The sequence below is a fragment of the Homo sapiens genome, chromosome 3, assembly GCF_000001405.40.
Source record: "Homo sapiens chromosome 3, GRCh38.p14 Primary Assembly".
Lineage (NCBI taxonomy): Eukaryota > Metazoa > Chordata > Mammalia > Primates > Hominidae > Homo > Homo sapiens.
This window is the reverse complement of record NC_000003.12, coordinates 82495855-82510204: the sequence shown is the minus strand read 5'-3', so window position 1 is coordinate 82510204 and position 14350 is coordinate 82495855. Positions and strand designations below refer to the sequence as shown.

Genomic DNA, 14350 nt, shown 5'->3' with positions numbered 1-14350 from the left:
GTGCGCCCAGGGAACGCAATGGCACCTGGAAGCTTGGAAGCGCCAGGAACCACAGAGCCCCAAAGAGGGTGCCACAGCCCTGATTCAGGGATCCCTTAGGTCTGGGCTTCCTGAAGGGCCGCAGCTTATCTCTCCTACTTGTTGCTTGCAATGTGGCGAACAGCGGGGCATGTTCAGCCTTGTTCGTGTTACAGTTCTTTCAGTCCTGCCATGTGGTGGGTCCGGAGTTCTTGTACTGAGTCCGGGAAGAATGAGGTACATGGACAAACGGAGGGTGAGCAAGTGAAGAGATACTTTATTAACAGTACAGCTCTCAAGAGACATGGAGTGGGTAGCTCCCATCTGCAGGCAAGTCGTCCAGATGAGTGTGCAGCCCTCAGCAGAGAGAAGACCTGGAGTGGGTACCTCATAGCTGGAAGTAGTTTGTCCAGGTATCTCTGTGAGTCTGGCTGAGTCCAGGGTTTTTATGAACTTCAGAAAGGAGGAAGTGCATGCTGATTGGTCCATAGGGGCCATGGGTGAGCCTGGAAACAGCGCCTTAAGTTCTCACTGTGGGCTGTGGACTCCACCTAGAACTGACAGCCCGGCCCGCAGGCTTCAAGCTGTGGCTGGCATGAAGGTGGGACAGTGACCCACCCCTTCTGACCAGGAGCCTGTCTGCCTCCTGCCTTCATCTACATGTCATCCACTGCTCGCAGTCTGTTCATGGTGAGCCACCCTCACCTCTCTATCAGCCTCCCTCTCATGCACATCGGCACTCAAAGTCCAGAGGGGGCTGAGGCAGCAGGGTGCTAGTCTGTCAGAGCCGCCCTGAGCGTGTGCATACCTGAGCAGATCACAAGAGCACCTGGACTTGGCTTCAATTTGCTTTAAAATCAGAATGGGTGCCAGGAACAGGGAGAGGCCAGGCAGCAGAAGCAGACATTCCTGAGCCTGCAGAGGCAGGGGGAATTCCCGGGCCCCTAAGAACATAGAGACGCCCAGGTCCACAGCCATGACTGGGCAGCTGCAGCTGTGCCTGGATGGTGGGGCTCCTGCCCTGCCAACTTGGAAAGGGGCAGGGCTTCTGCCTGTTCCTGGCCCCCCTGGCCCTACCTTACCTGCTGCAGCTGGCATCTTCGCAGTGGCCGCTCCATACAGGCCACCACTGCCATCAGTTGCAACAAAAGCAATCGCAACAAAAGCAAAAATTGACAAATGAGATCTAATTAAACTAAAGAGCTTCTGCATAGCAAAGTAAATTATCAACAAAGTAAACAGACAACCTACAGAATGAGAAAAAAATTTTGCAAACTATGTAAACCAACAAAGGTCTAATATCCAGCATCTATAAAGAACTTAAACAAATTTACAAGAAACAAATAATCCCACAAAAAAGTGGGCAATGGACATGAACAGACACTTCTCTTTTTTATTTATTTACGTATTTCTTGAGATGATGTCTCACACTGTTGCCCAGACTAGAGTGCAGTGGTGCCATCTTGGCTCACTGCAACCTCTACTTCCCAGGCTAAAGCAATCCTTTCACCTCAGACTCCCAAGTAGCTAGGATTACAGGTGTGAGCCACCACACCCGACCAATACTTTTCAAAAGAAGTCATACATGTGGCCAATAATCATATGAAAAGAAGCTCAACCTCACTGATCATTTGCAAATCAAAACCACAGTGAAATACCATCTAACACCAGTCAGAATGCCTCTTATGAAAAAGTCAGAAAATAACAGATGCTGGTGAGGTTGTGAAGAAAGAGGAACACATACACTGTTGGTGGGAGTGTAAACTAGTTCAGCCATTATGGAAGACAGTGTAGTGGACCTAAAGACAGAAATACCATTCGACCCAGCAATCCCAAGGAAATATAAGTTGTTCTGTTATGAAGACACATGGACATGTGAGTTCATTGCAGCACTATTCACAGTAGCAAAGATACGGAATCCACCTAAAATGCTCATCAATGATAGACTGGATTTGAAAATGTAGTACATATACGCCATGGAACACTATGCAGGCATAAAAAAAGAACAATATCATGTCCTTTACAGGAGCACAGATGGACTTGGAGGCCATTATTCTAAGCAAACTAACACAGGAACAGAAAACCAAATATCACATATTCTCACTTATTAGTGGGAGCTAAATGATGAGAACACATGGACATATAGAGAGGAACAATACACCCTGGGAACTACTGGAGGGTGGAGGATGGAAGGAGGGAGAGAATTAGGAAGCACAACTAATTACTACAAAGCATAATACCTGGGTGATGAAATAATCTGTACAACAAACCCCCAGGACACACGTGTCCCTATCTAGCCAACCTGCACTTGTACCACTAAATTTAAAATAAAAGGTAAAAAAAATATGATACGTAAAAATAAAACTACATGGTTAACATAAAAATAATGCTGTTTTTCTGAAAAGGACAATTTTATTCACTGTAGATTTTTCAAAATCTGAACATGCAGAGAAACTAACCAAGCTAATTATACCATGTGTTGCAGGGCCTTCCCGCATGGTTATTTTTCACTGGTGCTCACAGAGGATGAATATACTCCACCTTCAGCAATGGCTCCTCCTCATCACAAATCACCATAAACCTTCCTGAAAATGGTGAAGCACTGATAGAGAATTGCAAAATGATGAAGTGTTTAATTGTTATTTAAAATTCCCTAAGATATTTTATCTAACTTACAGAAAAATAAGTGGATATTACAAATGGTATTTAAGCTCTAGCTTACTCTAAGTTCTTAGGCAATTAAAACGATTAGGTTGGTGCAAAATTAATTGTGGTTTTTGCCATTACTTTTAATTATGCTTAATGGCAAAAACCACAATTAATTTTAATTTTAAAAAATTATGGTGGCCGGGTGCGGTGGCTCACGTCTGTAATCCCAGCACTTCCGGAGGCCAAGGCAGGTGGATCATGAGGTCAGGAGATCCAGACCATCCTGGCTAACACAGTGAAACCCCGTCTCTACTAAAAATACAAAGAAAAAAAAAATTAGCCTGGCATGGTGGTGGGCACCTGTAGTTCCAGCTACTCAGGAGGCTGAGGCAGGAGAATGGCGTGAACCCAGGAGGCGGAGCTTGCAGTGAGCCGGTATCGTGCCACTGCACTCTAGCCTGGGCGACAGAGCGAGACTCCATCTCAAAAAAAAAAAAAAAAATTAAGGTAAATATTTTATAAGTAGAAAAACCAAAGACCTTTTATACTGATAATAGCTATACTTTATTTATCTTTGTGATCTTTGGTTGTGATTATGAACCAATTTTTTATTGAAAGTTCAAATAAAAATTGTATTAAAAGTAATATGTGATTAAAGACATAAAATACAAGTTTTTCTTTGATTTTAACTTAATACTATAAAGTTTTGATAATGTAAATTAATTTTTTATGTGGCCACCCGTCATACAAAATAACTTCTGAAACAGGATTATTCTCATATTTGTTTCACCATGAGCATAAGCAAATGAACATTTTGTGTTTGGTGAATGTTACATTTTTGTTTTTGCTTAATTTCAATCTCATAAGAAAATGTCACACTCTCCTTAGGGTGTCGTTTTTCCAGCCGGAAACCTCTTTGACTGGTTAAACCTTTGCCCAAGTTTTGCTCAGGCCCACTGGTCTCATTTTGCCCACTCGGCCTGGCAGGATGCACTTGGCTTATGCTACCAGCCAGATCCCATGCCTGCCAACTGCAAGCCAGGTGCAGAGCAGCAAAGGGTGTGTGAGCGAGCAAGCATGGGGTCCAGCCACTGCGCACAGCCAGACACGCTGGCTGTGGCAGGGCAGGCAGCTCCAGGCACTGGCACTGGTGCCGGCTCCATGCGAGGCTGTGGCTAGACCAGATGTACTACAAGAGGCTTCTGCTGTGGGCACCAGCATCTGGACAAGGGGAACATGGTGGCACCTGAAAGCTCAGAGATGCCAGGAACCCCAGAGCCCCAAAAGGGTGCTACAGAGTGTCACAGCCCTGGCTGAGGGAGCCCCAAGCTCTCGGCTCCCAGAATGCCACAGCTCCTCTCTTCTGGTTGCCCACAGTGTGGTGAGTGGCGGGGGGGAACATGGTTCCGCCCTGTTTGTGTTACAGCTCTTTCAGTCCTGCCATTTGGCGGGTCCTGAGTTCTTGTCCTGTGTCCAGGAAGAATGAGGTATGCAAACAACTGGAGGGTGAACAAGGAAGACAGAAGCTTTAACTGAGCGATAGAACAGCTCTCAGAGACCCAAATCCGCAGCTCCTTTCCACAGGCAGGTCGTCCCAATGTCTGTGTGAGTCTGGCTGAATCCAGGGTTTTTATGGGCTCAGAGGGGAGGAAGTGTGTGCTGATTGGTCCATGGGTGGCCATAAGCAGACCTGGAAAAAGCACTGTAAGTTCTCACTCCAACAGTGGACTCCACCAGGAAATTGCAGTCCAGCCCCTAGGCTTCAGGCTGTCCCTGCCTTGAAGGTGGGGCTCTACCAGGTACCCATCCCTTTCCACCCAGGAACCTGTCTGCCTCCACCATCATCAATACGCCGTCCATGGCGGCCAGGGTGTTCGTGCTAAGGGGTGCCTGCAGGCCTGCGCCTAGCTGCCCTAAACACCCCCGGACCTCCTTCCTATGCTCATCAGCTCCTGAAGTCCAGAAGGGGCCGAGGCAATGAGGGGCTGACATGTCAGCACCGCCTCAAGCAATGCACACCTGGTGCACACCTGGCCGGAGCACGTCAGTTCCCCAGGCTCAGCCACAACTTTGCTCCAAATTCGAAGCAGGTGCTGGGAGTGGGGAGAGGCCAGGGAGTGGGAGCATGAGCTTCTGAGCCTGCAAGGACAGAAGGGCCTTCCTGGGCCCCCGAGGGCACAGGGATGCCTGAGTCTGAAGCTGCAGTTGGGTGGCTTCAGCTTCGCCTGGGAGCATGGGGCACCCACCCCGCCAACTTGGTGGCTGGGGTGGGGGTGGGAGAGGGGAGCTCCTGCCTGTTTCTGGCTCTTGCCAGCTCCGTGGAGCATGCAGCCCTGGCCCTGCCTCCCCCACTGCAGCTGACGTCCCTCCAGTGGCTGCTCGCAACAGGCCACCCCAATTGTATAAGGTACCTTATACAATTCATTCTAACTGGATAAGTAAATATTTCTCAAAATTTTTATTGTCAGTTATTTTCATATATAGGGTGGGATTATGTAAATTAATATACTGAATCTAGTCCAGATACTAAGGTACAACATGGGGATTATGGAAGTAAGAATCAAACATTTTAATTGTTGGAAGATTAATCTTTAAATTTCTTGGGACAGGAGCCAAATAAAGTTATTATTTTGTGTCACCTGATCTCTAATATGAGACTCAGATAACATTTCTCATTAAATGGTAAAATTTTTTATTTAATTTAATAGAAAGAAAGCAGAAAAGATGCAAGTCTAATAAAATAAAAATAGTTAATAGTTAACCATAAAATAGTTAATAAAGTTACTATTGGTGACTTCAGTGGGTTGCAAGGTTTGGACTTTAGCATGTATGAAGGATTGAAACATAAATATGAATTGTGTGTGTAATGTTAGAGCATAGTCATATATTTTTTGTTTGTTGCAAACTAGATAGTCATTGTATGTATTATGTTTCATGATACAGTTATTTACACAGAAACTTAATTCCTTAGGGAACCTGGTAGCATAATTATACAGATAACAGAAAATGTTACTAATTTTGGAGCATCTGAAAAAGATGCATTGAAAAGAATTTGGTCCCATAGAATGGTTTTGTTGTTATTTAAAAGAGAAATGTTTTGGTTGTAGATGTTTTGTAATAATTCTGCAAAGGGAAAAAATGCAATTCAAAGAGTGACAAGAAGAGATTTGGTTGGAAATGAATGTGCCAATAACCTGTTTCATGGAGAAATCAGCTTTCATGTCAATGATGACTACAAATACAGATTTTGGTTAAAGGATCAATTTTATACCCAAATCATCAAAACCAAAAGCATTTATTTACATACCACTACCCTGGTGAGTTTTCTTCCAAAGAACTGGAGGTCTTATTATAAGCACCTATCATCAATTAGCTCTTCTTTTGAAGTTGTAATAAGCAAACCTCATTTTCTTACATTAGAGATAGAGAAACTGATTGGCAAGGATATTTCATTTTATAATATTTTAATATAAATTGGTTATTTTGACTTTAAATAATTTTAGCATTTTTCTGATAAAATCTATGAAAATATATTGTGAATTATGAACCATTAAATATATGCAGATAAGGGTATAGTGGAGAATGATAATTCACCACATGATGTGTTAAATTTTAACTTGAAATAGTATACATCTGCAACATTACAGTAAACATAAAGAGAAGCTCTTCAAAGAGAAACTGTACCCAAGCTAAATAAGTATATTTAGATTTCAGGGGATACCTCATGGTAGTTCTTTCTTACAGTATAAAGTAAGTATTATCTATATTAGAAAATTTAAAATCATGTTTTGAAATTAATTTTGGGGTCTTGAATAAGAATACAGTTCTGAGTGTTCAGGAATATTTTAGTCTAATTTGAATGTATTTATGTCTGTTTTTATATATTGCTATTCAGGTAGATATAAAACAGAGTGAGAAGCATAGATTATGCGTGTATAAACAGATAGACAATGAAGTGAAATAATTTTTCAATCCTTTAAAGCAGGGGTCCCAAACCACTGAGCCAGGGACTGGTACTGATTTTTGTAGCCTGTTAGCAACCAGGCAACACAGCAGGAGGTGAGTGGCAGGTGAGCCAGCAAAGCTTCATCTGTATTTACAGCCTCTCCCCCTTGCTCATTTACTGCCTGAGCTCCGCCTCCTGTCAGATCAGTGGGTGCATTAGATTCTCATAGGAGTGAGAACGCTATTGTGAACTGCACATACAAGGAATCTAGGAATCTAGGTTGCCCATTCCTTATGAGCATCTAATGCCTGATGATCTGTCACTGTCTCCCATCACCCCCAGATGGGACCATCTAGTTGCAGGAAAACAAGCTCAGGACTGTCCCACTGATTCTACATTAGTGAGTTGTACAATTATTTCATTATATATTATGATGTAATGACAATTGAAATAAAGTGCACAATAAATGTAATGTGTTTGAATCATCCCAAAACCATCCCCCTAACCCAAGTCCACAAAAAAATTTTCTTCCACAAAACTGGCACCAAAAAGGTTAGGGACCACTGCTTTAAAGTCTTAAAACATATTGCAAATATCCCAAATCATATTGGCAAATTATACGTGAAAAATCTGACAATATAAAGGCCAAATTTTTCGAACTTATTTAGCAATGCTTCCAGAGCATTGTGCCACTTTTTTTTTCTAGCTTCCCTATCCAGTGTTGAGATGAAATTCAAACACCTGATGATTAGTGGAAGGTGGACAACAGGAATTTAAAGCATAAGTTGAGAACACAAGACATGCTGGCTCCGACAAGTAGAAAACAAAAGATAACATCTGCTACTCTTATTTTCTAATTCTATTTACTCTTTTGTTAATATAATCCTTTACAATATTCATCTTCCGGAAGTAATTTCCACACCAACTAATTTGCATATTTTCATGCACTATCAACATTTTTTTACTTGTTTTAATTCTGAGCTGCCCTAGATATTATTGACACACAATTTATTGTGTTGGTGTTTGTTTCTACTTAACTGGTTTACTAGATTAATTTCTTCTTATAACATGCAATTGAAATGATCCTCTCAGAATATTATAGAGAAGTTCACATTGAACAAATATTCTTCTTCCTTCCTGCTTTTGTTTTCTCCTAGCCATCAATACCTACCAATGAGCTCTTAACACCTCTCCATTTATTATTCAATTTGCCTGCTGAATTGTCCCATTATCTTTACTGTGTGCTGCCACCCTTGTTGAGATGCTTATTCCCTCATAATGGACTATATTAATTGTCTTGTAACTCAGTCTCTTTCTTTCTCCAGTCTATCAAGTACAGTGCAGGCAAATTAATCTTCTTAAAATATGATTTTGATCATGTCAGTCCATCTTCATTGATTTTTCACTGTCTATCCAAGACAATAGAGATTTCTTTGCCTGGTATTCCATTTTTATCACATTGAATAAATGGTTTTATACATTTTATTCATGCAACCAAAATTTTTTATGGACATACACAGTGATGATTCTAGCTATCCAAGATGAAAAAACAATTGCTGTTCTAAATGTTTTTACCATGTTTTGAGAGAAGCAGACATACATAGTAGTAATTTTTAGGTTATAAGGGCTAGTCCAATATGATAAATAAAGAGAATAATTAATTCCATCTCAAAAGACTAAAAATTATGAAAAATTTGAGTTAACCCTGCATTTTCACAGTTGGGGAAGGTTAGTGTATCTTACTATTTCTCTATATGTCGTTTAAATAGAAAATCTCCTTTTTCATACATTCATTTTATTATTCCAATAATTTACAGTTAACAATGTTACCATTAAATGGGATAACATTTTCTTACTCTGTCTCTGTAGAAATTATTTTTCTGTACCGTTATCCATAGCAGTTAATCTGCTTTACATTTTCCAACTTTACAGCCCCTTGAGTTCTTAGGACAATGCCCTGTGTTTAATGAGTGCTCAATAGAATAAGTGTTTAATACATTTAAACACATGTAAAATGAGGTTTCCTTAGAGTTTTAATTTGCATTTCCTTGATTACCAAGACAGTATATTTTGTATATATTTTTATCCTCCGTTAGTGTTTTCTCTTCCAGAAAACAAAACAAAAAGAAAAACCTCCTCATATCATTTGTTCATTTTTCTCTGTTTTTTGTTGTTGTTGTTATTGATATATGGGATTGCTTTAACAATTTTAAAACAAAATCTTTGTTTATTACATGTTATACCTATCTTTCTTCTCCAGCTTTACATATTTTAGAGTGGTGTTAGATAAGCAGAAGTTCTATTAACTTTAGCAATATGTTTCATTTCTCAGCTAAGTCTCTTTAAATATTTTCTCTCATTCATTCTCTTTATTACCTAATTCTGGAATTCTGATTTAATGTATGCCATACTTTATTCTTCATGTTTCTGATCTTGTCTTGCATAACTTTTATCTCCATGTTTATCTTTGTTACTTTTAAAGTAATTTTTATGTCTATCTTCAGGTTTACTAGCTCAGTTTCATCCTTGTTTAATCTGCTGTTTAATCTTTTTTTTTCTTTTTCATTTCTATCACTAAGAAGTTTCCAAGAAGTTTCCAAGTTTACCCATTTGACGCAATAAGCACATTCTGCCTGCCTCTCCCACTGAATACAAATATTAAATCTGAATGTACATCGAGCTATATTATAACAGTAAATAGTAAATGGTAGCAGATGTATCAGAGAAGACCAGAATGTAGAGTACCAACAAACTGTCATGAAATTACCACAAGAGGGAAGAAAGAAAAAGAGAAAAAAGATGAAATAATTAAACAAGTAATAAAGAAATGTTGGAGCTTTCTAATGGATGGTTTCACCAAGTTTATGATAGGGCAGATTTGAAAATAATATAGCTCTAGGTACAACCTTGAAAACATAAATGCAGATTCTGGTAAATTGCCAGACAAAGAAAGTCACCTGTAGCAGAGTAAGAATCAACAACTTGAGAAGCATAAAAATATCATTTATCAAATGCTGTAAAAAGGGAGCCTAATAAATCTACGTCTAGTTAAGATATCATTCACCTGTCACCATAAAATACAAATCTTTACATATATACATGGAAGGCAATATCAGCCTAAACTCTAAGATCAATAATAAAGAAACAGTTTTAACCAAAAATTCAAATGTATCAAATTAAATGTGGAAAAATATAAAAAGATAAGAAAATGTGAGTGCTGAACTCTGTAAAAAATGTAGATTTAATGGGTCATTATAAAATGATTGGAAATGTGTTTACTTTTAGTAAATTGGTCATGTATTTGTTGGAAATAATGACAAAGGGACTTGGTATATATTGAAATAGCTAAGTAAGGATTTTTAATACAGAAGAGACGTAATTCCAGAAAAAGTTCAATAATGTTCTAAAAGTATAATAATACTTTATTACAATAAAATTAAAAAGTTAGAAATGAGGCATGAAAACCTAAAGGTTGTATCCTATTAGAATGGAGAGAAGGAAACAGAGAGGAAAAACTTCCACTTGGTGACGGCTATAGTTGGTAGGGGTTTAATGATATGTCTAAAAAAAGAAGAGGACATTATTAGTGGAAGCAAAAAGTGTAGTGGTAGACTATAATTAAGAACTTATTGTATATTCTCAGATAGCTAAAAGAGCAGATTTTGGATGTTCTCAACACAAAGAAATGATAAATGTTTGAGGTGATGAATATGCTAATTATCCTGATTTGTTCTTAACACATTCTATACATGTATCAAAATGTCATTTTGTACCCCATAAATATGTACAATTTTTATGTGTTTATTAAAATGGTAATCAAAGCAAATAAATAAATATATTCCTTGACTAAATGTATTCCTAGGTAATATTTGTGGCTATTTAAATAGGATTGAGTTTTTGATTTGATTCTCAGCTTGAACATTATTGATGTATAGAAATGGTACTGATTTTTATACACTGATATTGTATTCTAAAACTTTACTGAAATCATTTATCAAGACTGGGAGCCTTTTGAAGGAATCTTTAGGGCTTTCTAGGTAGAAGATCATGTCATCAGTAAAAAGAGACTTGACTTCCTTTTTTCCGACTTGGGTGTCTTTTTAAATTTCTTTTGCCTGACTGCTCTGGCTAGGACTTCCGTTACTATGGTTGAACAGGAGAGGAGAGACTGGACATCCTGGTTTTGTGTTGCAGTTCTTAGGGGGAATGCTTTCAACTTTTCCCCACTCAGTATAATGTTGGCTGTGGGTTTGTCACAGTTGGCTCTTATTATTTTGAGATGTATTTCTTCAATGCCTAGTTTGTGAAGCGATGTTGGATTTTATCAAATGCATTTGCTGCATCTATTGAGATTATCATATGGTTTTTGTTGTTAATTCGGTTCATGTGGTGAATCACACTTATTAATGTGTAAATGTTCAATCACCCTTGCATTCCTGATACAAAGCCCACTTGATTGTGATAAATTATCTTTTTGAAGCGCTGTTGGATTGTTTGCTAGTATTTCGTTGAGAATGTTTGCATCTTTGTTCATCAGGGATATTGGCCCGTTTTGGGTTTTTTGTTGTTTCCTTGCCTAACTTTGGTATCATAGTGATGCCAGTTTCATAGAATGAGTTAGGGAGGAATCCCTCCTACTCAGTTTCTTGGAATAGTTTCAATAAGATTGGTACCAGCTTTTCCTTGTTAAGTCTGGTAAAATTAAGCTATGGATCTGTGTGGCCCTGGGCTGTTTTTTGTTTGTTTGTTTGTTTGTTTTTTCCTTTTGGAACTTTTTTTTTCAATTACAGATTTAATTTCATTACTTGTTATTGGTCAGTTCAGGATTTTTATTTCTTCCTGGTTCAATCTTGGGAGGTTGTACATTTCCAATAATGTAACAATGTCCTCTAGATTCTCTAGTTTGTGGGTATACAGATGTTCATAATAATCTCTGATGATTTCTTTTTAATTTCCATGGTATTAGTTGTGATGTCACGTTTATCATTTTTGAGACCACTGCAATCTGGCTATACCCTCCCTGGCCTGGTCTATGCCACCACACAAACCGGTACCACACTCTTCTCTGTGTTCTGACAGTGGGTGCTCATTTTTTGTTTGAGATAAAAGCACAATCACATTGCTATACCTCCTGCAGGCGTGGTCAAGTGCTGGAGAAATGGTCGTAGGCCAGCGGATTTGTCCTCGGGCCTCTCAGGTCAAGCACCAGCTGTGATGGGCGTGGACTGTTCACAGGCTGCCAGCAAACCACTCAGGTGGGGCAAAGGAGGCTATGCTGTGATGGGAACCGCCAGACCTGGAGTCTTGGGAGGGACTCATAGATACGGGGACACGTGGTTCTAGTGCATTTCGGTTCTGTGGCAATGGTGGTGGGGCCTATCTTGGGCACACTAGCCGGTCCCAGCCCCATTCTCTCCCGGCCTAGCAGACAGCACAAGCTACAGCTGCTCAGGGCACGATGTAGAGCCCCAAAGGGTGGGCGCCCGGAGTTTCCTATTGCTACAACTTCCCAGCACACCGAAGCATCTGAGCTCCATGCAGGTTCAAGCAGTGCCTTGGTGTGGTCTTCAGGCAGCTCCACCTACCTGTTCAGACGTCTGTGGGGGTCATGAGAACTCTTGTAGCTAGAATGTCAGGGGTCTGCAACGGGAATGGGATGCCCTGGGATTTTTTCACTCACACCTTCCTTGGGTCTGGTCCAGGTCTCGGGGCTGGTCTTGGAGCCCAGTGACACCAACCAGACAGTCTTGCTTTCTTGCTCTTCAACCATGGTATCTTTAGTCACCTCTCTAGTAAATTTCACTGTTTTCTCTCAAAAGATCTGTTTAAAGTGGAAAGGTTTACTCAATATTTTGCTTCCTCTATGTGGAAGAGACACATCTCTGATGTGTCTAGTAAATCTTTTTTGGCTTTTCCAAGACTTTTTAATCTTTTCATTATTTTCTCATTTCATTTGTATTAAAATTCTAAGTCATTATTAAAAAAGTCAAAAACTCATGAAGTAAGAAAATCTTGCCTTTTACAGGTTGATTTTTACTGGAATAATTTTAGAAGACATTTTTCAATACATTTTTAAGATGTTTACTACATAGGTTTTTTAAAAATCATTTTTCTAGTATAAAGAATTAGCACAGTTTACTATCTATTTGATCTCTTGCTAAATCAGTAACTGTGATAGGCAGAATTAAGAAGACACCGTGATCCCTGCTCCCTTTTCATGCACTGTACAACGCCCTCTTCTGGAGAGTGCGTGGGACTTGTGAGTGTGATGCTGTCTCTCCTTTGATTAGTTAACATTACGTGGAAAAGGTGATGAGACAATCATTCTGGTAATTATATTACTCTGTATAAAACTCCCTTGCAGCAGATGAGAGAGAGATTCTCTTCTTGGCCTCAAAGAAGTAAATTGTTATGTTATAGAGACGACCATGAGTCGAGGAGGAGCTGGTGGCCTCTCACAACTGAGAGCCTCAATCCTACAGTGGCAAGTCACTGAATTTCACCAGGGCTCAGTAAGTTTGGAAGTGAACCCATTGTCTCAGCTGCGACATTGCAGCCCCAGCTGACACCTTGAGTTAAGCCTACGGACACTTAAAGGAGCTGCTAAATTTGATGTAATTTCTTATACAGCAATAAAAAACTAATATATTGTTTAACAAAAAGCTAGAACTGCAGCTTATTTTGTGTGTGTAGGATAGGAGAGAGAGGGAAGATCAAAAGCAAATTCACAAAGACATCAAGAGCCTACCTAGAATGTAGAACATTGGAAAAAAGCATTGCTCCCACACTTACAATGAAAATACAATCTGGCCAGGTGCAGTGGCTCATGCTTATAAACCCACTAGCCATCCTGAAGGTAGACCCTACTGAATCAGTATTTTTTTTAAAAAACTAAGCAATCCATATGTGACTTTTATTCCCAAAAATATTTGCATCACTGTCTTTTTTTTTTTCCCCCTCTCTGAGACAGGTCTCACTCTGTCATCCAGGCTGGAATGCCATGGCGTGATAACAGCTCACTGCAGCCTCAACCTCCCAGGCTCAGGTGATCCTCCCATCTCAGCCTCCTGAGTAGTTGGAACTACAGGTGCATGCCACTACACGTGGCAAAATTTTTGCAGAGAAGGAGTTTCTCCTTGTTGCCCAGGCTTGTCTCAAACTCCTGGGCTCAAGAAATTATCCTGCCTCAGCCTTCCAAAGTTCTGGGAGTACAGGTGAGAGCCCCTGTCACCGGCCTGAAATACCGTCTTATAGAGCAATTTTTGGAAAACTTCAGGTCTAAGATATTATAACATCTCACAGCAATCCATTATGGAGCTTCAGAAATTTAACAAATGAATCATTTCCTTCATTAATTTCTATTTATTAATTGATTTTCTCTGTTTCTCACAGATTGTGCTCTGTTAAAGTCTCAGGAGCTTTTTTTCCCTTAAGCACATGAAAATATCAGCAACTTCACAATATAATCATTTGAAGAAAATATTATGCATTTTACTTATTTCTTCACTGATTCTATAAGTTCCATTAATTATTTCTGGTAAATCTTTCCTTTTACAGCCAATATAGATAATTTACCAGGTATACTAGAGCTTTTGAGCAATAGTTGCATTCAGATCTTTCTTTTTTTGCTCACAGAAGGATGGCACTTTTTGGTTCCTGGAAGTCAGGTGGTTATTTGACTGTATCTGGCCGATCATCTGTGATAGGAAGTGACATGTGTTACTTCTCATCCATGAC

General features: G+C 39.6%; 1 annotated feature.

The window, feature by feature from the left end:
- Nucleotides 3274-3773: an enhancer, noted in NCBI's record as "H3K4me1 hESC enhancer chr3:82555583-82556082 (GRCh37/hg19 assembly coordinates)". NCBI's record gives its function as "activates a minimal SCP1, AML or CMV promoter by ChIP-STARR-seq in primed H9 embryonic stem cells {active_cell/tissue: H9 hESC(primed)}" and the evidence as "EXISTENCE:reporter gene assay evidence [ECO:0000049][PMID:30033119]".